Below are 25581 nucleotides of genomic sequence, written 5' to 3' on the forward strand. Positions count from 1 at the left end.
CAAAGGATAATTCAAATAAATCCATGCACATATGTAGGCAATAAGGAATGCTGAAATGAATTTAAAAGTAGATGTAAACTGATTTATCCACAGAGAAATAATCAGTTGCATTTCACATAACAAAATTCAGTTGCTTTTCTACAGAAGGAATTGTTTGCATCATTACCAATTTTTCTACAACTAACAGAATTATAAAATAACTCAAACACAATGAAAGGCAGATATAACCCACAATGGTATGATAGATACAATATCCACATCCAGGATGTTTTTTTCTCATTTCAAAGTCTTTCACAAGTTTTCCTGATAAGGGAGTGTCAATAATACTGTATGGCAGGCAATAAGACTGGATGGATGGTTGGGGCCAGGTTTTAAGGGGTAATAAATGCCATGTAAAGGTATGTGCATACTGTGCAACATGTCGGGGAATCTCAAATTATTGGTAGAGTATGTAAGAAACACTTGTGGAGCTTGTTAATAAATTCAAATTCCCAGACCCAACTCCTCAAGGGTCTAATACAGTAGGTTTGGAGTAAAGCCTGAAAATCTGCAATTGTGCAAAAAAAAAACCCAGGTGATTCTGATACACTTTGAGAAGCACTGGTGGAACTAATAGTCACTGAACGTTTTTGAGCAGGGGAGAAACCTGAGGACGTCTATGTTGCAGCAGTGGAAACTTGATTAGAAGTAGGAGAAGATGCATGGTCTTAAAAGAATGCAAAATGATGGCTAATATTTGAGTGCTTATGATGGGCCAGGGGCTGTGCTAGGCGCGTGGCACACATTCAATACGATGGAAGCCTGTACCAGTCAGTATTAGTGGGGTATCTTTAAGAGTGACCAGAATTAAGGGGGGTTTTCACCAAAGCCTGAGGACTGAGCCTCCTCATCCTAAATTCAGACACAATGCTGTACCTATGCATTTGCCTCCAGGCTGTTCCTGGGCCTCCAGGGACTGGCCCAGGCTCCTGATAAATAGGGACTCCCAACAACATAAAGCCTGGATTTTGGAACTTCCTGAATGTTACTCAGGCTTTCTAGTAACTGTGGAGATCTGAATAATAACACAATTCTAAGTTCCCCTACTCATAAAGCTGCTCATCATTTAGATGGGGTAAAGCACCTGAAATACAATGAGCATCACTATTTTCATTCATCCATGAAATGAACATTCCGGGGAGATCAGTAAGTTGATGTATCACCCTTGAACAGGGCAAAATGAATACTCACCAGGAATATGTGGTATTTTAAAAAGAAGGCAAAGGGAAGAACAGTGGGGATGGGGCAAAAACTTTAAATAGATTCCCCCAATCATATATGGCAATTGAAGATAATTAAATTATCATTTTAATTGAGTAAGTACTCATAGAGCCCTCACTATTTGAAAATGAACTGCCTCCTAATTGTTATTGTGCAAATGTGATACATTAAACTTAAGCTATTTTAATAAAACATCCATTTTCGGAAGCTGTAGTAGGTTCTCCCAGGTCAGATTTGATAAGCCATAAAGAACAAATGCCAACTCCTATTTTTCTATGGTGCTGGGAAATAAGAGAGAAATGTGTAATTCAAAGCAATCATTTAATTTTATCCAATAGCTTGATTCTCCTCTCTCTTCTAGCCTTTTAGCTAAGCTGTTACCAAGTAACCACACTAGTTGGCTTGAGTCTTACCACTGTTTCCCTGACCCCACAGTGGAGAGACTGCATCTGTTAAAGAGCAGTTATGTAACCATGGCTATGCTGAGCTGGGATTCCCAAGGCTTAGGTTCTTTCTGTGAATGACCTTCACCAAGACACCTGAGGTCTGTGTGGAACCACAGGCTTGTCATCTCTAAGGCAGAGTTGATAATTCCATCTGTTTCTTGAGCCCACACTGAGAAAAAGATTACATGACTGCAGTTATTTGAATGCCTCATGGAAAGACGTCTTATAAATATTATAATTAATGTTATCATTAAGTAATGCTTCAATGCAGATCTTCCAAGTATAAATATCAGCTGAGTAAGAAGTCAATCTTCCCTGAAGCAAAATTGAAATTTGTAAATGCGATTTCTGGGAGCTTATTTTGTAATACATGATTCCAGAGTGTCCATAACACACACAATTGTCTTTTTTCCCCTACATGGGCTATTTACAACAAAATTGGACTTATAATGTTTATTTCCAGGGATGACTAGAACTTTAATAACAAACCTTGGGCCAGGCATAGTGGCTCATGCCTATAATCACAGCACTTCGGGAGGCTGAGGCTGGTAGATTACTTGAGGCCAGGAGTTTGAGAACAGCCTGGCCAACATGGCAAAACCCTGTCTCTACTAAAAATACAAAAATTAGCCGGGTGTGGTGGCGCATGCCAGTAATCCCAGTTACTAGGTAGGCTGAGGTACGACAATCGCTGGAACCTGGGAGGCGGAGGTTGCAGTGAGCTGAGATTGCACTACTGCACTCCAGCCTGGGTGACAGAGAAAGACTCTGTCTCAAAAAAATAATAATAATAATAATAATAATAATAAACCCTGATGAAAGGTTTCTAAAATGTTTTCATCTAATGGTTTTCTTGACAATTAAATTTTCTATATAATGTCAGTTCATAAAAAAACTGAGAACGACCACATGTCATATCGACTGCTTAAAAGAAAATACGTATATTTACAAACATATACACAATACTGTCTTTTGTCTGGTTAGTTTAGAGGTTAGAATAAACTGCAGTATGTTGTAGTGGACAGATCATAGAACTAGGAGTCAGGATGTCTGGATTCCTAGGAAGCAATGAATAGGTTGCACGGTGCAGCTCAAGGTTATTCAAAGTGTGGTGCCCAGACCAGCATCATGAGTATCCTCAGGGAGCTTGTTAGAACTGCAGATCCTTTAACTCATTGAATCAGAATCCCTAGGTGTGGGGCCCTGAAATCTGTATTTTAGCAGGCTCTCTGGGATTGTGATGTGCCTTAGAGTTTGACAACCACTGGGTAGCTGATCCTGACTTAGACTTATCAGGCATGTGATCTTGAACAAGTCACATAATCTCACTGAGTTCAGTTTTCTTATGTTTAAAATAGGCCCAATAATATCTATTTCACATGGACTGCTTTGAGGATTAGGCAAGAGATCTGTAACAGACACTGTAGAACAGTGTCTCTGGTCTACAGCTGACCTTCCATAAATGGTAGTTGCCTTGATTCTCTGCTCTGCCACATAATAGCTGGTTAACTATGAGCAAGTAATTTAGTTCTTCTCAGTTTAGTTTCTTCACCTGTAAAAGAAGGAAAATAACTGTTATACTCAATTTCTGAAGTGGCTATAAAAATCAGTTTAAATTATGGGCATTGAAGCTCTTTGTACACTGTATAAGGACTGTACATCTAAGGGATTAATGAGACCAGGCTTATGATTTTAAGCATGGAGTAAATAGTAATACTGACTCTGTTCTATGAACCACATGGAAACTCTAAAGAATATGCACATTTGAAACACAGGTATCATCTGGGGAAGGTGATCTGCTCACCCAAACCAGTTCATGAACATCAATCTCCAGTGGCGTGCTGGAGCTAGCTGTACCAGCTCATGAGGGCCAATTGTTTCATTTTTAGGAATTTTGTTTGCTGGTTAAAAATAGTCATTATTTAAAATTAAATTATGTAAACAATAATATTAGATAAAATAAGTTAAAATAAAAACAAAGGAACTAATTATCCCCAAACTCTTCCCCACCTAATTATTTTACTATCTGTGCCTTGGGATTATTTACATTGATTTTATCCATATGGTGACAATACTATTCATATATAAATGGTGTGCTTCTCTTCATAACTCTACATAGCCTGATGTCAGGCTAGTAGCTTGAAATTGGCCACAGTGGGAGTGTGAGCATTTGTACCATGAGGCTTGGCCAAGGCTACAAATCCAGACTTTTGTTTTTCCCTCCTGGAGAGCTGTCTGTTAAAAATTTACCAACACACCACTGGTCTTACCTTTGTTAATTTACCACAGTCCAGGTTCTGACCTAGACTTAGAAACCTGGATTTGTCAGCAAGCTGAGGATAGAGCCATTATTTCTAAGAAGGACTCACATTACCCAAGTGCAAAGCCTGATATATACCTTCAGAATATCAATTTATTAATTTACAGTGAAGAAAGCCACCCCAGGGCATTCCCCAGGGGAAGGCAAAAAGAGCTAGTTGCACATTTTGAATGTTTGATGACATTAGGGTAAGGTGACACAGAATATCCATTTCCACAACTGAGATACCTGCTGCCTTAAGGAAGGGACAGGCAAGTCCTTGGGCAGGACCTTAGATTGTCACTGTCCATCTTGCTCTAGGACTCTCCTTTCCAGGCATGACGATGGCCAACTCTGTCCTCCTACCCTACTGATGGGATTATCTTTTCTTGACACATGGCAATGCCTCCAATCAGAGGCTGGTAGCTATTTTTAATCTTCAGGGCAGTATTTTTCAAAGGGAAGTTCATGGACCATATGCATCTGTATCATTTAGATGTATATTAAAAATGCTTAGGTCTTCCCCAGTTATACTAGATCAGAATCTCTGTTGGTGGGGCCCACGAATCGGTATTTTCAACAAATCACTAGGTAATTTCTGTATATACTATAGTGTGAAGACCACTGCTTGAAGGTTTCTTTGCATATCTCCACTAAATATAAAAAATATTGACTTCTAGATTTAACTCCCAAAGCACTTGCATTTTTAAGTTTCTGGGGGCATTATATTGTGGTACCCCTATACCACTCACACTCTAGTCAGGAGGTATATTATGGACTGAATGTTTGTGTCCCTCCAAAACTCATATGTTGAAGTCTTAGCTTCCAATGTGATAGTATTAGGAGATGGTGCCTTCTGGAGGTAAAATCAAGCCCTCATGAATGGGATTAGTGCCTTTAGAAAGAGAGCTCCGTCACTGTCTTTCCATCAATTGAAGATGCAGTGAGAAGCTGGTAGTCTTGCATCTGGAAGAGGGCCCTCACACAACCTGATCATGCTGGCACCTGGTCTCAGACTTTCTGCCTCCAGAACTATGAGATGATAAATTTCTGTTGTTCATACCCCACCCAGGCTACAATATTAGGTTGCTGCAAAGTATTTGTGATTTTTGCCTTTACTTTTCAGGGCAAAAACTGCAATTACTTTTGTGCCAACCTAATATTTTGTTATAGCAGCCCGAACTAAGGCAAGGGAGACTACATCAGACAGTGTAGCTATGTAAGTACAAATGTATCCCTGTTGAGGAAAACTAAGTTCTAACCCTGACTTCAGGCCAGTAGCCACCTTTTCAATCTCTTTCATGAAGGGACCATTATCATTATCACTGGTGGCAAAAATAGAGGCACGAGAATGGAATTTGCTTTTCTGTGAAATCTCAGTGTATACAGATTGAAGAGCAAGGGTTTGCTTTCATCTCTAAGAAGCAAAAGTGAGTACGGACTGGCACATTATCAGAGAAAGAATCATTCTAGCTCGGTGGGTCTTAACCAGGAGTGAATTTGACTCCAGGGAACAGTTGGCAATGTCTGGAGACGTTTTTATTTGTTATAGCTGGGGGATGAGTGGGTGGGTTGCTACTGGCATCTAGTGGGTGGAGACCAGAGATGCTGTTAAACATCCCGCAAAGCACAGGACAGTCCCCGACAACAAAGAATTATCTGGCCCCAAATATCAATAGTGCCAAAGTTGAGAAACCTCATTCTAGCTTCCTTTTCCCTTCTACGTTCTAATCAACTGTTGTTCTTTCAGCATTAGGATTCATCCAGCAGTCTCTTTCCCCAGCAATTTGTTGAAATTTTTTTAAAAATGGACTCATTTTAGTGTCACAAGAAAAAAATACATTCACAGGAAAGGATGGGTCATTTTGTTTAATGATGTTTTGCCTTTCACATAGCAAAAGCTTAATAAAGTATTTTTAAATAAAATGGTGAATAGATCAAAACATTAATTTCACATGTGTTTTAATAAATAACAGGAAGATGGCTATATTATATAAATTGTTCTTGTATATGTCTTGAGTGGATCATCAAACACAAACGTATCTACATGCCTTTTCTTGTGAATAGATCTAATAATAACGCTCTTCTAAAAACAAATTAAATGGATATTATTTGCTGAGAATGTAATGCTTGTGTGAATAGAAGCCAGCCCTGAATCCAAGCCCCCAGATCTATTTAAAGAATTTGAAGAATGTCAGAAAAGCACGTGGCTTCAAGGTTAATGTGTAAGACTGACAGAAACTTGAAAAATCACTATGACTAAAAAGAAAGTATGAGCTCCCTGCATGCCTGTAAATTGGAATGACAGCCAAAACCAGTTAATTATAAAAACAGCTAATTTAACAGGTTTTCAAATTTGTTTCTTTCTCCAAGTAGCATATAGTCAATAATCCTTAAAGAGAAAGCAAAGAAGGGGAAGCACTGAACCAAATTTGCTTTTTTGTACCTGCTCAGCTCAAATGCAGAGTTCTCTACCTGGAAATTGACTGCTTCCATAGTTTGATAGCCACAGAGAGATGGGAACAGAAGGAGAGGTATAATCCCAGACTTGATTCAGCTATAGAGAATGACAATAGTGTCAGAGGCCTTCCAACCAGAGCGACTCCATCTTGAATACGGGCTGGGTAAAACAGGGCTGAGACCTACTGGGCTGCATTCCCAGGAGGCTAAGCATTCTAAGTCACAGGATGAGACAGGAGGTCAGCACAAGACCTTGCTGATAAAACAGGTTGTAATAAAGAAGCCAGCCAAAACCCACCAAAACCAAGATGGCCATGAGAGTTATCTGTGGTTGGTCTCACTGCTCATTGTATGCTAATTATAATGTATTAGCATGTTAAAAGACACTCCCACCAGTGCTATGACAGTTTACAGGTACATTGGCAACTTCCGGAAGTTACCCTCTATGGTCTAAAAAGGGGAGGAACCCTCACCTCCCAGAATTGCCCACCCCTTTCCTGGAAAACTTGTGAATAATTCACCCTTGTTCAGCATATAATCAAGAAGTAACTGTAAGTATCCTTAGGCCAGAAGCTCAGGCCACTGCTCTGAATGTGGAATAGCCATTCTTTTATCCTTTACTTTCTTAATAAACTTGCTTTCACTTTACTGTATGGACTCCCTGTGAATTCTTTCTTGCAAGAGATCCAAGAACTCTCTCTTGGGGTCTGGATCAGGACCTCTTTCCAGTAACAATAGTAGTAAGGGGTCAGGGAGACTGGACAAAGGAGTTTAAGAAGCCTTAGATAAAGGGTCCTCATCATTGTCATAACATAAAATCATGGACTCCTAGAATTTTATAGCTGATAGGATTAGAAATTTCAAAATTCAATTTCATTAATTTTCATCTGCGAAAACAGATGGCCAGAGAGGCCAAACAATTTGTTAAGGAGCACTGAGGGCAGACCACACTGGAACGCAAACCTCTTAGCAGAGTATACAAGGCCTTTGATCTCCTCAGTCAGAATGAACTAGAGCTTTCCAGGGTACCCTTTCTGACTGTTTAGCATGTTTGCCAGTCTGACTAATTTTGAAGTTGCTTAAATATCTGTCATTTCCACTGTATCATAATCTCCTCATTCATCTTCAATCTCCAATGCCTTGAACTCAGTAAATGTTAGTTGAACAAAAGTAAATTGAACCCAGAATTTCTGATCATAATCTGGAGCACTTTAAAATTGTCAGCTTACTGGGAAACGGGATAACATGTGATTTGTCTTTGATTTTTTTTTTCTCATATGCTTTTTCCACCTATAGATGCTACACGAATGTTTTTAAAATCTGATATAAAAATTAAAATTAAAAAATTAAAAAAAGAAAATTTGATACAATGCTACATTTAGAGTGTTGTGATTAGATTCCTTAAGTGTATCATGGTGATCTCTACATCACGTGGTGATCAAATTGCTTTGGGTTTTAACACATAACTGACAAAGGCTTGGGGACATGTAAGATCCCAAATACATTTTTATTGATTTTTTTTTCTTGTTTGTCCTCTTTTAAATAACTTTTTTTTGTTATAAGAATAATTCATGTTCAGTGGAGAAACCATAGAAAATAGTGACAAGTGAAGGAATAAATTTAAAATGACCCATAATTGTACCATACATTCTGATTTTTTAAACGCTGAACAAATTAGCCTTGGGTAAGTACCAGGAATAGAGTGCAGCATTGAAAGTTAAAGTTTGGGGAAGGATAGCTGACTTAAGAAATTATCTAGTTAGACATTTTTTGATGGGGTAATTTTGCAGATGACATTAGTGAGAGAAAGGACTTGCCACTCTCACACAGCTAGTAGGGGTGTGGGAGGATATTGGAACCAAGTTTCAAGTCTTCAGTGAAGAATCAAGGGAGAAGTTCTAAAACCTAACAATATCCCTCTGGATGGACATTTATTTTATTACTACAATAAGCCACACGGTGAGTCATAAGGAGCATTTCATTCTTCTAATATGTCTCTACTGTATTTAGAATCTGATAAAGCCCCTATTAGAATTCATCTCTTTAAGAATAAAAGAAGCTGAGGAACTAAAGAGAGGGTTGGAATAATCCACTAATTATATCCGTTAAGCTTCAGTTACGCTAATAAGGAATATCACATGACTGTGGTGTGTGCTTGTTCTGAACAGTAAAGTACATGAGGAAAGATAAGATTCAGGGCTGAAATGTCCTTCAGCATATGTAGGTAGTGGTGATGAAAGTCATTAAAAGAAAAATTGATTGAGGTATTTTAGTAAACAAAAGAACTCACCACTTACCCATCAGGAAGTGTATTGTTAATGCAGTGCTGTTCAGCCTTCTGGAAGAAAAGGTTTCTTCATGCTTCTCTCTTTAGCCTAATTCTTATCCTGTCACTTTTCAGGCAAAATTAAAAAAAAAAAAGATTGAAAACGATGCTCCTATTTTATTTGCTTCAAAAGAAACAGGCTGTTGCATTGTGCTTGGAACAGTTTACTCTTGGCCTTGATGTAAGTGTGAAAGGAAGCCCATGTAATTGACTAGGCAGTATCTGAAGAAGCAGGAAATACAGTGTTAAGAAAATGAACAGGCATGAAAACCATGGCTATTTGATAAAAGTAAATAATTTCTGCAGTTCACATGTTCTCAGCATATTTTCTTTGATACTGACTTGCTTAATATGACAATAGCAGAACCATGGTAGCTTGTAGGCATTACTTTTCTTTTAATTTCTTTTACATTTTGAATTTACCAGCACTCACATTTGTATTACTTTTGGGTTATACTGAGGATCTATAACTTATAGATCAAATACCTGACATATATATGCATTCTCTGAAGTCTTAGGGCAGAACTAGAACATTCTTGTGAACATCAGTATAAGATATTAAAATGGAAGTTTTGCCTAAGACTGAAGACAATAAAAATATCATAGTCTGAAATGAATGCCAGCACACCATACAGGATTTAAATATCTATACATATATATGTGTGTGTATTATATATATTTAATATATATCTGTGTGGGATAGGAAGAGGTAGGGGGAAATCAGTTTTACAATTATTAAGTATTTCACCCTTGACAAGAGTATATATATTGGAAATCAGTTGGAGAGTATTTTCAAAGATAAATGTTAGTGTGCTATGAATGAATCCACCCCTACCACCACTGAGGCAGGGTAGGAGAGGCCTGTGCTCCTCAAGCATAGTTGGAAAAGGACCTCAACAAGACCACTTCAAGAGCCTAATGTGTGGAGACTGTTGCTTAGGGAGACCTTATGGTCTAGCTTCTGACTCACAGCTAAGTCAGGGAGACAGGTTGGCTGCTCTGATCGTGGAGTCCAAAAGATGGCCTGCACTGAAAAGCCTCATGAGTGTTGACTTAGGGCTAGTCTAAGAGGTCCCTGGAAGAAGAAACACTCAGTAGGAGAGAAGCTGGAGGTACCTTCAGTGCTGAATTGGAACCTAGATTCATTCCCCCGTGGAGCAAATTACATAGGAAAGATGCCCAGTGATGGAGAGTGGGGGTGTCTCTAACAATTACCCACCCACCTGCCCCCACCCCTAAGAAAAAGAAAATCACATACAACCAGTCAGCTGTAAACATATGCCGAGCCTAGTAAACTCAGATACTAAGTTACCAGGGTACCTGGCAAGTAAGAACATTCCTGATTCCCTTCCCTCCTCTTCCTCTTTGCCCTCCAACCTTAGTGGCTAGCAAGATGGGGAGAGGAGGAGAAGCTGTAAGTGGGGAAAAAAGAGCAGCTTTCTCTCCTTTTCAGCTGCTGGATTCTCCCTCATCATAGGCCTGAGCTGGGGAATCAGGAAGAAGGATTCTTTTTAAAACTGAAGTAACGTTATCATTTAATTTTAAAACATTTTAAATTTTGACAATGTTGAGATTAGATATACTAATTATTAAACTAAGATTATGTTTTGCAGCTTGAAGTGATAAGAAAAACCTCTTATCTAAGAGCATCCAGGAAAGTCGGGGGTTTCCTGAACATCCTTTTAAATCCTTTGGAAGTCAGCTTTCAGAGAGGATTTAAAGTGTAGACTGGGCCTTCAGAAACTTGTTTAATGTAGGGGTTTCCTATGCAGACTTGGGGACTATACCTTGTGTGGAAGAGAGAAAATAAGATTATGTTACATTTTTCCCATTCCTTTTTCAAAAAGAAAGCTCAGCTAGCATGAAAGTTAAATTCAAAACGTAATGGGTATTATTTGCATATTCAAATCTAGTGCATATCATGTAAGTACTGAATTATGGTATTCATTATTTCAAATGACAAGCTGGATTTTTTTTTCTTTCGAATTTCACAAATTAATTTTCCTTGGAACCTTTTGGTTTGGGCTTTAAGAGTTTAGGCTTTCATCACAAAGAGAGGACAGCCTTGAAGATTAAAGTGTGTGGCTCTTCTCAAGATGTTCTTAGTCCAGCAAAGGATTCTATGCATATTTGGGCTTCCTTCTGTCTCATAACCTGTATTTCTTGATATTCTATTTATATTCTGTAAGATTTTTTTTTTAAAGGAAAAATTCTTCCATGGTTGAAGGACATGTCAAAAATAGAGGATACAGTTTTATATCAAAGGAAGTTTCATGATATGACTGTAGAAGCTCATTTGACTTAAGACACATCATTTCCTCATGGAAGTGTTAAACAGATCTGTACAATAAGGTTGGCAATCTTTGTGTAAAACAGTTTTTTTTCTCCTGCTCTAAAGAAAGTGTATATTTCAAAATGTGAATGTCAGCAGTCAGAAAATAGTATTTTTTTAACTTCGTTTTCAAAGTCCTCAAAAACCTGTACCTAATCATGAATTTTTTTTCCCACAGATTGTTTCTTCTTCTCCCTCCCAGAAACTTTGAAGTTTTTCTACATGACACCAGGACCTATGTCTTTTTTTAATTACACAGAAATGAAAGAAAAAAAGTGTGTTGTATCGTTAACCAAATATATGAAATCTTTAAGCTGTATTTTTATTTTTAACTTTGTTTTGCAAAGAGGCCATTCCCTTTGGTTAAATAATTTGTTATTCACAGTTTCCTTGTCCTCATATTATCAAGGGGAAAATTGTAGAAATTTTAAAGGAAGCTCTAGGCAATGTTTTCATCCCTGAATCTTTGGAGAGTTATAAAAACAAACAGATTACTGAACCTGTAAGAGAACCAATCGTGAAGTCATTACATCTAAGCATAAGCAAAATCTCCTCTTGGATCATTAAGTTATAGAAGAAAAGAAAGCCTGCACTTTGAAATTTAGATAAAGCTTGGTAACTTGTAAGTCAAACACGTAAAATTTTACAATTCAGGAATATCGATAGCAGTTGAGTTTAATAGACTTCTCACATTCCAAATTTAAAGCTTCCTTCTCTGTGCTAATAGAGATACAATAGCAGTAGGCGTTTAAGAAGAATGAATCAACAATTTAAAACTATAATGTGTTTTTTATTCATCTCCCTTATTCACATATATTTGTTTTGTTTTGAGAAGGAGTTCTGCTCTGTCGCCCAGGCAGGAGTGCTGTGGCACGATCTCAGCTCACCGCAACCTCTGCCTCCCGGGTTCAAGCGATTCTCTTGCCTCAGCCTCCTGAGTAGCTGCGATTACAGGCGTGCGCCAGCAACCCCGGCTAATTTTTGTATTTTTAGTAGAGACAGGGTTTCACCATGTTGGCCAGGTTGGTCTCGAACCCCTGATCTCAAGTGATCAGCCCGCCTCGGCCTCCCAAAGTGCTGGGATTACAGGCGTGAGCCATCACTTCTGGCCCTTATTCGCATACAATTTAAAAATCATCACAGAAGGTTTGAAAGAAGGAAGGGGCAGAAAATTACCTACTTTTCCTCTCCCCAGCGATCTCCTTCAAATCTGTGCCTTTTCCTCAGGCCCAGGCCTCAATTTACTGAGCAGTCACACCTCACAGAGGGAGGTCTGGGCAATCCACTCTTGGTCACAGGAAAGCCATTGACCCTCCCACTTCCTCTCCTCCACCTTGTTCTCAACTCTTGACTTTGGGCTTTGTTTCTGTTCAAGTCCTAGGAACTGGTTTCTTTTATCAGGTTAAGTGATTAGTTCTCTTTCCCTCTAGTTGCTCTCACTCCCTGACTCTTGCCTTCTGTAACAACTGGAGACAACTCTTTCAAAACCAGCTCCAAGCCCCAGACTTCTCTCTGGGCTTTAGTTCGTAAGGCAGGTGCCCTACTGAGTGAGCCTAGATCAGACAGAAACATAGCTGTTGGCAAGGATTTAGGTGAATTTCCTTCCATTGTTTTTCTAATACCTTTTTTTTTTTTTTGTAAATATAACCATGCACCTACACACATATTTGAATATCCTGCCTTTTTATTTAAAATGACATGATAGGTCCGGGAGTGGTGGCTCATGCCTGTAATCCCAGCACTTTGGGAGGCCGAGGTGGGCAGATCACCTGAGGTCAGGAGTTCGAGACCAGCCTGGCCAACATGGTGAAACTCCATCTCTACTAAAAATCAAAAATTAGCCGGGCATGGTGGCAGGCTCCCAGCTACTCAGGAGGCTGAGATGTGAAAATCGCTTGAACCCGGGAGGTAGAGGTTGCAGTGAGCTGAGATCTTGCCATTGCACTCCAGCCTGGGCAATAAGAGCGAAACTCCATCTCAAAAAAAAAAAAAAAAAAGACAGGATAAACATTCTAGATAGTCTCTATAATGGTCATGATTAAGACAATAAAATAGTCTGAAATTGTCAATATATATTAATAATAATTTATTTGGCCATTCTGCCAAGTAGCAGACACCTGTCATTCTGCCCACTCAGCACCTCTCTTTCTTTTAGGGAAATGCTACCCACTCTTTGCATGGGTTCTGGATGGAACTGTTGATCACAGTGTTTTCACTCCCCATTTTGCCTCACCAGAGGTAGACAGAAGACCCAAGCCAGGCCAGTTACACACAATCTTCAGATAATTACCGTATTGATCACAGTATCACCCCACTCAAGGCTTGGTTGGAGATGAGCAGAAGAGACTAAAGCTGGGTCATTTTAATTAACACCTGTACCCCAAAGAAAGACTGTCAATGAGGCTTTTATACCGACACTCCTGGTTTCCATTCTTCCTGATGCCATTCATTTGACGAACTACCCAATCTTTCCAACAGTGTCTTTGGAAGAAAGATAGTCAGAAAAGAAGATAGAGTTGTTTTCTGTTCTTTGCAACCAAGGAACTCTAAATGATAGACTTGTTGCTAGGCACTTTGGTTATTTTTATTATCTTGAATACTTCTGTGATATACTTCTTTGTGCATGCCTGTTTGTACGGATGTAGCTTTTTATATATTTTATATAATTTCTCAGAAGTGGAATTACTTAGTCAAAAGGTATGAACATTTTTCTGATTCTTAATATAAATTGTGCAAATGCTTTTTAAGAGGATTATACCAGTTTACATTTTGTGTTATATATAACAGAAAGTACTACTGAAAAAATATTACAAAAATTTGTCTCTCTGTTCAGGAGGACCTTGTAATAGATGATAAAGTACTTGAAATAGGAACATAGAGCATTTTCAGTTTAAAATAATTTCATTGGGTTATTTACGGAATCCTTAGAATTATGGCCAGACATTTATAGATGATCTGTACCAAACCTAGGTTGGTTACATAAATTGCTTATTCAACTGGCTTAAATCTATAATAGAAAGATGACACTTACTGAATGTTTAATATACACTTTGTCAGGGGCTTTGTATTATTCTATGACATCTTCAAAATGACCCTACTTTCCTATTTTATAAGTAAGGACAGGAAGGCTTCAAGAACATGACTAATTTTCCCAAGGGCTGTACCAAAGCCAGAACCCAAATCTATAAGGCTTTTAAACCTGCATTCTAAAACTGCATCTCGGCCATCTTATTCCTACAGAACTTAAGGTTAGAAAGCCAGATTGGAGTCCCAATTTCACCACTTAGTAACCAGACAAACTTGAGGAATTCACTCAACGTCTTTGAATCTTCATTTTCTAATCTTTAAAACTAAAACAATAATACTTGCTCTACCTATGTCCTAAGATTTCGTGAGGCACATAGAGATAGTGTGGAAGAGTGCTGTACAGATGTCAAGTGTTAGCGTGATTACTTAGATCCCTGAACACCATGGATGAATGTCTCTGACTGCTATTAGAGGTCATAAAGAATATTGGGGCCAGGTACATTGGCTTATTCCTATAATGCCAGCACTTTGGGAGCCTGAGACAGGAGGATCACTCGAGGCCACGAGTTCAAGACCGGCCTGGGCAACATAGTGAGACCCCTTCTCTACAAAAAAAAAAAGCAGCCACGTGTAGTGGCACACACCTGTAGTCCCACATACTCAGGAGGGTGAGTTGGGAGGATAACTTTAGTCCAGGAGTTTCAAGGTGCAGTGAGCTGTGATTGCACCACTGTACTCTAACCTGGACAGCAGAGTGAGACCCTGTCTCTAAAAAAAAAGAAAAAAAAATAATAATAATAAAGAATAATGGGGCCTTGGGATACCCACTCCTCTCTTTCTGCTCTGAGTTGTGAAGCAGTTGAGTTACATATGCATGTCCAATGGATGAGGTTGAAAATATCAACTGGATTGGAATGTGGCTTACTTGCGTGGCCACAATGAGCTTCGTAACACTTCCTGACAGGGTGAGAAGACAAACTTCCTCACCCAGTCACTGGCAGAGCTGGACACTCTGTGTCTCTCCCACAGAACAACCTCTTACTGCATGGAGGTGGATGAAAAAGTCAACCGAGAACAGGCTACTCCAAAAAGCAGAGCACCAAAGGCACCAGCTGGTCAGGTCCCCCTTCCTAAGTAAACAATCACGTAATTCATTCGGGACAAAGCCAGAGAGGTGGTGTGGAGAAAGAGAGGGCAGTTTCCTCCCAAGTTTTTCCTGGAATTCTTTATGGGAATATGAGGTTTAGGGGAATAAGACTTCCCTTTAACAGTGAAGAATCCCCAGCTCTATTGGTAATAGGAAATCGCTTACAAGGATCATGGGGAGTATTTCCTCAGCTCGTTCTGCCTCCTACTTGGCTGAGTGGAATGGAACCATCTGTGGCTGCTGCATATGATATTGTCAACTTTGTCATTCCACACCCACTCCTTGACGCCCTACCATGTGGTCATAAGACTCCCTTTAAAGTGTTCCTTTAAAAAACAAAATGTGTTTTGTTTCTATAAAATACAGCTCAATGTCAGAACCCTTGTCTTGTTTGCTCTCTGATGTAACCCTTTCACAATGTTTGGGCAGCTTATTCTCTCTATTTCCCTGTAGGGTCCCATCCAGGCCAAAGTGAGTGCCAGCCTCATTTGGGCAGCAGATGCCCTGTGGAAGGGCAGGAGGAGACGAGAGCTAATTGTAACTTTGTGATTAGCTGTCATGGATGCCTGGTCCTGTCAATAGCGCTCAATAAAGCCAGAAGGCCAAGCGTTCGCTTCTGCATACTGATTGCTGAGTCAGATTTCTCAGTGCAGAAGGGCTTTCTAGGCAGTCAATTTTAGAATATTAGTCTTGGTTCTTAAGTGGTTAAAATCCCTAGCTGGTCTTTAATCTGAGCCTGGAGAATTTAGTTATGGCTGACATTCTGCTGTGATATTTTTGCCCTCAATATATATGTCTTTCCTCCATCTCTTAGATCCCTGAATCATAGAGATATATATGTTATATAATCAACTGTCTCCAGTCTCTAAGAGTGATAAGTACACATTGTGTCAGGTTGAGGGGACAGGAGAACTTTCAAAAGCCTTTCTTGCCCCTTTTTCCTTCTCACTGCCTCCCACTAAGTCCAGCCACTTATTATTCAGCTGACACTATCATCATGACCATGAGGTCTTTTGGGGCTACCCTGGTTCGGATCCTTCTGGAGGTTTGTTGCTTAACTCTGTCTTCAGTCCTATGAGCTGCTTTTTCAATAAGTTTCTATTTTGGCTAAAGTTGGCCAGAATCTCCTTGTAACCAAAGAACAAATAAAATACCAGCTTGCAATGTTCTATGTTGCTTCCACCAAACTTATGCAGCACTTCCTATCTAATCCACCTACTAGTCTTTTTTTTTTTTATTTTTTTTGAGACGGAGTCTCGCTCTGTTGCTCAGGATGGAGTGCAATGGTGCAATCTCGGCTCACTGCAACCTCTGCCTCCCGGGTTCAAGCAATTCCCCGGCCTCAGCCTCCTGAGTAGCTGGGACTACAGGTGCATGCCACCACGTCCGGCTAATTTTTGTATTTTAGGAGAGAGAGGGTTTCACCATGTTGCCCAGGCTGGTCACGAACTCCTGAGCTCAGGCAATCCGCCCTCCTCGGGCTCCCAAAGTGCTGGGATTACAGGAGTGAGCCACCTCACCTGGCCCCGACCTACTAGTCTTTAGTGTTTGCTTCCTTCTATTGGGTAATTGTCTGTTTATATGCATGTCTTGTTTCCTCAAATAAAATGTGGTCTTCTCAAGGGTATTGGCCCATGTTCTATCCATCTGTAGATATCACAGCACCTAGCAGTGTCTTTCACAGAGGAAGTACACAACTGGCATTATTGATTCATTGCTCCATTTTTTCCTTCTTTATCCCCAGCATTTCTCAATAATTTCAAACATCTCCATTGGAGTACCGGAGAAAGCAGGTAGCTTTACTTGCAGCTATGTTTCTATCCCCATAGTAACTAAAAGAGGACCCAGAGAAACATGTTTAAATGCTGTCCTGTTATCAGGACCTCAGCCTTCTGATGCTCCGTGGCTTGGGGGTTATTGCTTGATCATCTCCTCCCCAACCTACACTGTGTACCTATGCTAGTCTCTTCATGAGGACTAAGCCCCATAGTAAAAGGGCTAGATAAATAGAAAATCATTTTATGTAATTATAAGAATGAGAATACTGAGTATTCTGGTGTTTGTTTAGGATAAGCACATCTTTATTTGTATGAGAAAAAGAAAAAGAGAGTGAAAAATATATTAACGTGCATATTGTTCAGAACCCTTGGATTGCAAGTGACAGAAACTCAATTCAAACCAACGTAAGTCAAAAGGAAAATATATTGGCTCATGTAACCTTCTCACAGAGAGGGCAGGATGGAAGGGGCTTTGGGAACAAGAGAATTGTTCTCAAATTCTAGGAATACTAGGATTAGTCCAGGATGGGTCACCTTCCTGTCCCTGAGGTGGTGGTAGCGATGGTAGAGTCTTATGGGAGGAAAGAGTGCATGTTAGGATGAAGGTAGGGCTAAGCAAACAAGGGCAAGGGCCACTATATCATGCTAAAAATGGTTTTTTTTGATGTCTTCCTTAATTTCACAAATGCTTCCAACAAAGTAGCACACAGGAAAAAGAACATAGGGACTCTACTGGTGGGTGCTTTTATCTTAAGCCTTGTACTTGCTTTTCACAGCTTACTCACTGCTTGTACCTGAGGCCATATGCCCTGTAAAAGCTTCTGCAGGGTTTCTACTAAGCTGGGTTCCTTATATGGCTCTCTCCCATTTCTGTTGCCTCACTCTAGTGATCTTTCTCTTTTCCTCACCTCTGGGACTGGTGGCTGTTTGTATGGACTGCCTTAGCTTTGCTTTGGGTTTTTTCCTGGGGACAATGTCTTCAGATTATCCTAGACCAAATAAACTACAGCCACTGGGCCAGGCTCTTCCTCCTCCAACTGGACCATGTTCCCAGGGCTCTTCACCTTAGTTTAGGTCAAGCATTCTTGGCAAAAGAAAGGCCTAGTTAACAATAGACATTCTAGCAATTGATTCTTTTTGACATGTTGTAAGATCTATTCACATTTTGTAATTAAAGCATTCCCCTATGGAAACCAACACGAACTAAGCTGCTCCTGGAATGCAGGGTGGCCTCCTCAATACAGGATGTTCTAGAAAGCTGTATTTTGGGCACTTAACTATTCTCCACTACTTAGGGCACAGCACTGAAATTAACACCACTAAGTTTGTCATGTCCATGTAGTTAGTCTCAGGCAGTGCAGCCTCAGGAGTGGAACTGACCTCTTATGTGTGTCCAGCCTTTCTTCCTTCAGAAGTCAGCTGTGTTTTCTGCTGACTCTCCATAGGAACATCAGTCCTGAATCCTCAGACCACCATCTGGAGTAGTAAGTGCTCCTGACAGTCCTAGAAGTTGTCTACCGCTGGATCTCCAAAGCGTGTGACACACCGTGAGAGAGAAATGAGAAAGCTGGGCTCTTCAGGTAAATCTTGCTTTTTCACAAGCCCCCTAATTTTACTGCATAATTATTTTGAATTCACTGATAATTTCTACAATTTTCCCATAAGTCATCTACACACAATACCCTCTCATGCAACACTTGGCTTTGCTAATACATATCTATTATGAGAGCTGTGCTTCTTAAGCGTAAATGTTTTATATGCACTAAGGCTCTTGGCTTACATATAAAAGGGGTATTGAGCAATGTGATACAGAAGTCTTTTCTCCACAGGTCTCATATGTAAAGAATTCATTAGATTGGCTGAAATAGACTGATCTGTCCATTTCTCTGCTCACTTATCATAAGGAAGTCATTAGCTAAGGAACAAAAACTACAATCTATGTAATTAGAAGAACAAGCTGGTTTTGCTCAATATAAAAATAAGAAAAAGAAACCATGTGAAAGTCAAAATATTTGTTTAATCAGGTCATTGAGAATCTATTAAAAAGTATTTGAATTCTTTATGATGAGAACTATCTTGACTCAAGTGGACAGTGGTGAGCTTTTTGGCCTGTGGTCCCTACGTAGAAAGGAGGCTTTGTCATAAAGTCTTATATGGTACAGGTGCCAAGTTAAGTGCCCAAGCTTGCTCTTAAAAGCATACTGGATTTTGTTTTAGACTTTTAGTGAACTGAAGGGAATAAACAAATCCCTCTGGGAGAACTTCTCCTCCATCCTTGGTGAAGTCATTCTGCCAGAATTCTATCTGGTAGTTACCTTCTCCGATTCATTAAATGTTGTCCCATGGTCCGACATGGGTAATTTTTCTCTCATTTGTGATTAGTTCCACTACAAGGAATTAAATATTCAACTTCTTGCCTTCTGGGATATACTCAGCCTTATCACAGAGCTCCTCCAGGGAAGGAACTTAGATTCTTTGAAGAACTTCCCTGCTCTTACCCAAACCGATTCAGTTGTTAATTCTGTCCACCTTGCTCCATTTTCAGTGCAGGAGAAAAAGCATTTGTGGCAAGTCTGACCTTACAAAGGCTCGTTAATGCTCAATAACTGTGAGGACCTGCTATAAGTCATGCCTTTTAAGAAAAAATACACACATGCACACACTCACAACAAGACTGCAACACAACTGTGATGGCAGCTTGCATATTGAACCAGCTGTTTCCCTAAAACATTTGATTCGGCATCCTTTCTAGACAGTAAATGCAAAAGACTTAGGTTGGAAAAGTGCATTAGGTTTTGATTAACGATTGGATGAGGGCCAGTTAAATTTTTAAATCTGAATGAGCTTGCTGACTCAGGAGCCTTAGCAGCATAATGGACAGACAGTCCTCAAAGCTTTCATTAAAAGGGTTTCTGGTAACTGATGTCTAGAGAAATGAGTTGAAATACAATTCACTGAACCACTCAGCTTTCATCTAAAACAGAATATGTAATCTCAAAGAACTCAACTGGTCTCTTGAAATATTCAGGTAAAATTAAATGTAAAGAAGCTAGAGCTTAAATATTTTGAGGAAAGGAAGCCTCCTGTAGCTTTGTGACTATATCACTTTATCCTTTTGAATGCCGTATTTAATTATGTTAATTGCATTTTAAGTATAGCTGGAGTCACCGATCTGCTGAAAACAAACTCTAGAATGGTTTGTGGGAGGTGCTCAGGATGTATCAGAGACTGATTTGATTTGCATTTTATTTTTAACTTTAGTTCCTCTCTGAACTCTGCCTTCTCATGTTTGTTTTTTTTGTTGTTGTTGCTTAATACAGTCATGTGCCACCTAATGACAGGGATATGTTCTGAGAAATGCATTATTAGGTGATTTTGCCATTGTGCAAACATCACAGTGTACTTACACAAACCTAGATGGCATAGCCTACTACACACGTCTGCTATATGGTAGAGCCTATTGCTTCCAGACTACAAACCTGTATAGCATGTTACTGTACTAACTACTGTAGGCAGTTGTAACACTGGTATTTGTGTATCTAAACCTATCTAAACATAGAAAAGGTACAATAAAAATACAGTATTATAATCTTATGGGACCACTGCTATATATGCAGTCCATCATTGACTGAAACATTATGTGGTGCATGACTATAATAGGATCAAACTATGCCTTTGCAGAAATCCCCCTGGAAAGCCTCTGAAACTACCCTGATCTTAGAGGCAGTTTTATAAATCACGGCCAATGATTCTCAGCCTTTGGGTTGTGCCAGAGATGTGTCCGCTCTCCTTTTGCAATGACCCTAGAGGTAAAGGTGCTCTTTCTTCTTCTGCTTCTCATGAAAAAATGTAAATGTTGTATTTTAGCTTCTTTTCCCAGTCTAGTAATATCTTGTTAAATTTACAAGATTGTAGCGGTGCCTCCAAAAGGGGATAGCAATAGTTACTTTGAAAATGGGTGAGTTCTTTGCAACCATCTCTGAGTTGAACAGTTCTTGTATAATCTGTCTTCCCAGTTAGGCTGTGAGCCGCCTGAAGGCAGCAAGTGTATCTTTCACTCTTCTCTGATCTCCTCAGCCACTCTTCTGCCCCACAATTCCAAAAATCAGTTACCAAGCCATTGTAATTCCTTTTCTGAAATGTGTAGTAGACTCCTTTTAGGGTATTTGCCCAGTTCACAAAGACCCCTGCCCTCTTTGGAAATCTGTCCTTGCAGCCATATATGGTTTTTGTTTGTTTGTTTGTTTGAGACAGAGTTTCACTCTGTCGCCCAGGCTGGAGTGCAGTGGTGCGATCTCGGCTCACTGCAAGCTCCCCCTCCCGGGTTCACGCCATTCTCCTGCCTCAGCCTCCCAAGTAGCTGGGACTACAGGCGCCTGCCACCATACCCAGTTAATTTTTTTGTATTTTTAGTAGAGACGGGCTTTCACCATGTTAGCCAGGATGGTCTCGATCTCCTGACCTCGTGATCTGCCCGCTTTGGCCTCCCAAAGTGCTGGGATTACAGGCGTGAGCCACTGCACCCGGCAGCCATATATGTTCTATATGACTCTTTCTGAGACAATAGCTGATTAGAACAGTGATTAGAACTGTGATTTCTGAGACAATAGCTGATTTCTGAGACAATAGCTGATTAGAACAGTTGCCACGAGCTGGACCAATCATATTAATATTCTCTATCTCTCTCTTTTGCTCTCGAAATCTCAAATTGAGATTCAGAAACAGCTATGTAGTCTCTGTTTGTGGCTAGAACTGTAACATATGAACCCAGAGCTAGAGAGATGCAATATTCTATCAAGCAGAGAGAGAAGCAGAGGAAGCCGGTCGGCACAGACGGAATGCAGTAGCACACAGAGAGAAGCAGACACTCGGAGATGTCTGACACCTTTCTGCTTAGATTCCAGTCAGTTCAGAGGCCCAGACGCATTCCTGTCTGGAAGCATTCTGATCCTGTTTTGTAAATCAACAATAAATCCCTTGCCACCCTCTTTGCGTGTTAGCTTAAGTTGTCTTGCTCTTAAAAATCTAAAGAGTTCTAAATGATATGAAATGTCTGTTATACAGAAAGTAGAATGACAATTGCCAGGGGCTGAGAGGAGAGGGAAATGGAAAATTGCTCAATGGTTATAGTTTTAGCTTTGCAAGAGGAAAAAGTTGTGGATATTGGTGGCACAACAATGCGAATATACTTACCACTACTGAGCTCTATGCTTAGATACGGTTAAGATGGTAAATTTTATGTTATGTATATTTTATCGCTGTTTTTAAAAAAGTTTAAAATAGCCTGTTGTAGTCAGCTTCCTTGTCTTCCTTACTACTGCAGCCATATTCAGGTCTCCATGGCCCAAGGTATGGACAACTGTAGTCACCAAACTGGTCTCCCCACTTCCACCCCTTGGAATTTGGTCCCCAGCAATCTACCCTACATGCATGGAGCAATCAATATTACCCATAAAGCACTAACGCTGTGCTGTACTCCAAAATGCAAACCTTCATGGTGTCCCATTGAATTCAGGATCAAGTTCATACTCCCCAGCTTGTCATACAGGACCCAGTGATCCTTTCCAACCTTCTGACCTACTGATTCCCAGTAGGAAGCAAACCCTAGCAAGACTGGTCTGCCTCATCCCAGAACAGTACTTACTCATGCTGTTTCCTTGCCATGATTACCTTCCTTCTCCTCACCACATCTTATCTTTCTTTCACTTGATCTTAGTCCAAATGCCGAGAAGCAATCTTATCTTACTTTCAAAGCCCAGGTTCAGACCCATCAATTCTATAAAACATTTCTGACCACACTAGTCCTCCATGGACATTTATTTGAATTGAACTTCTTAGCATTTAAATATACACAGTTTCTTATTCATCTGTCTTGTTCTTCTGCTAGTTTATAAATTGCTTGATTATAGAACATGAGCTTGATAATCTTTGATTTTTCCTGGATACTGTGTTCTTGCTAGGCTGTTAATAATGCTTGTTGAATGAAATGAGAAATGAAGAACGGCTGCTTTACCAGTTTGTCTCTTCTGCCAACTTTTTTACATGGATTTTACACGTCAACTTTTTTACACAATGATTAAATATACCTAATTTGATCATCCCAACAACACTAGTAAATATATATGATCATTATCCTCATACTACAGATGAGGAAACACAGGCACACATCGTTTGTTTGTTTTTTTTTTTGAGACGGAGTCTTGCTCTGTTGCCCAGGCTGGAGTACAGTAGCACGATCTTGGCTCACTGCAACCTCTGCTCCTGGGTTCAGGCCATTCTCCTGCCTCAGCCTCCCGAGTAGCTGGGACTACAGGCATGTGCCACAATGCCTGGCTAATTTTTGTACTTTCAGTAGAGATGGGGTTTCACTATGTTGGCCAGGCTGATCTCGAACTCCTGACCTGATGATCTGCCTGCTTCGGACTCCCAAAGTGCTGGGATTACAAGCATGAACCACTGTGCTGGGCCAAGCACACATAGTTAAATAACTTGCAAAAAAAAAAAAATCGTATCTATTTGTAGGAGGCAGAGTCGTGATTCTGAGCTGAATCTATTTGGCTCCTAAGCTTATGCTTTTTCTACAGTATCACCACATATCCCATACTCTATTGTTATTGTTGGCTTTATTGCCTGTTTTTCCTGTGAATTTTAACCTTCCCAAAAGCAGGAATCTTATCTCAGTATATCACAGAGAATCACTAAGTATCTATAGAGGAAAGGAAGGAGAGAAGGAAAGAAGAAAAGGAAGAAGGAAAGGAGGGAAGAAAGGAAGAAGGAAAGGAGGGAAGAAAGGAAGGAAGGAAGGAGGGAAGGCAAGAGGGCAGGAAGACAGAAAAGAAGGAAGGAAGAAGGAAGGAAGGGAGGGAGGAAGGAAAGAAGGGAGGGAGGGAGGGACGGATAGGAGGGCAGAAACTCTGGAAAGGAGCTTGTCTTACTCCTAAGCTTGGTAAAGATCAGTCTTGCAAGGGGCTTGACTAGAAAACACTGGCTTATCTCACTGAACCATATTCCCAATGTCATTGACTCCTTTCCCCTGGGGAGTAATTCAACCATGTGTTCACTGTATGGATCAGAGTTGATGATGAATATTCTCTTGCCTCAGTCTCTTTTGGCCAGAGTTCCTTGGCTTCCAGCCTGCTCCTTGCTTGTTTTGAACGAATAATATATGACTTTCCTTCTTAACTGGCAAATGCTGAACTGTGGCCTCTCTTAACCCTCAAGTCTCCCGATAAAAAGCAAAATATTAGATTCGCTGACCAGCGCTACTCCTTACCCCGGCTGATTTCACATGAAGAGCTATATATGGGGTGGTAACATAGGTTTAAGGATGGATGTGCATATAACTCCTGGATACCGTTCCTGAAAATATACTATTGGGGATTATTTCTTTGGTTGAAGAGTCCCTTCACTACCACATGTCAGTCCCCTTACCTATAAAATGGGAACCTTAGGGTTGTTATAAGGATTAAATGAGTTAATGTGTATAATGTGCTTAGCACAGTACCTGCCACTCAATGCTATTATTGTTGTTGTTGTTATTATTATTGGTAGTAGTAGTAGCAGTAGTTGTTGTATGAAGATGCATGATTTCCTGGGAAAGGTAGCACATTAAGGCAGGATCAGTCATGAGTTACCTCAAGCAGATTAATTTACTAGCCCTTTCATGCTATTTCCCAAAGGGATGGTTTATCAAGTTGAGGAAGATGTAGATGTGATTTATGATGGATTTGAGGTTAGTACTGTGTATCCAGGTTGTGTGTGAGAAGACAAGAAGGAACTGAGGGCACAGCTGTACTTAGGAAGAACTCTGGTTTGCAAGGTACATAAGCTAATTCAGACGAGTTTAAACCATAGGAGATTTTGTTACAAAGGCACTAGGTAACTGCAGGGACCAGGGAGCAGGGTGTCCACTCTCATTCCAGATTCTTTTGAATTCTGTATATTTTATTCTCTTTCCACAAACAGACTTTCTATCCACGGTGGTGATGATAACCAATAACATTTCCTTCAGTCTCACCCTTGTAGCTCTGTGACCAAAAATGCAAAGCTGCTGCTTCTCCAGCTTCAAAATTTAATAAGAATCACAGGGCAGAACATTTATTGGCTAGGCCTGAGTTGCATGTCTAACCTTGGAGAACTCACTTTGAATAGGGGAATTCAGAACTAGGATTGGTGGCTCCACAAATCTCACAAAAATGGAGCAAAGTAGGAACTCATCAAACAGAAATCAATAGATCTCCACTGGCTTTATAGTACGTGGTTCTGGGAATCCAGATATTCAGAGCCTAGGTGAACCTGAACATTTCCCTTTAGGCAGATGGAAATCCACGTTCTTCTAGCTAAAATTTTTCCATTCTCTTTGAGGGGAGTTTCCATGGAGAGGCTAGCTTTGTGGGAGAGAGTGGGAAGAAACAACTCATGCTGTTTTTCATTGGGGACCATTCTTATTGCTACTTTAGTCCAGTCCTGCCCACGGATCACACATTATTCCTTACTCTTGTTGCTT

At 40.0% G+C, this 25581-nt stretch overlaps 1 long non-coding RNA gene across 2 annotated transcripts in view; it reads left to right on the plus strand.

Moving 5' to 3' along the window:
• LOC107984272 (uncharacterized) overlaps window positions 1–18674 on the plus strand; it is a 39616-nt gene extending 20942 nt beyond the window's left edge. For both annotated transcript variants that reach the window (XR_001747595.1, XR_001747594.1), the window contains exon 3: window positions 18521–18674. This is a non-coding gene — a long non-coding RNA (uncharacterized LOC107984272). The remainder of the gene's footprint in view (window positions 1–18520) is intronic.
• Window positions 18675–25581: the final 6907 nt, after the last annotated feature.

Source organism: Homo sapiens, chromosome 10 (assembly GCF_000001405.40).
Source record: "Homo sapiens chromosome 10, GRCh38.p14 Primary Assembly".
NCBI lineage: Eukaryota > Metazoa > Chordata > Mammalia > Primates > Hominidae > Homo > Homo sapiens.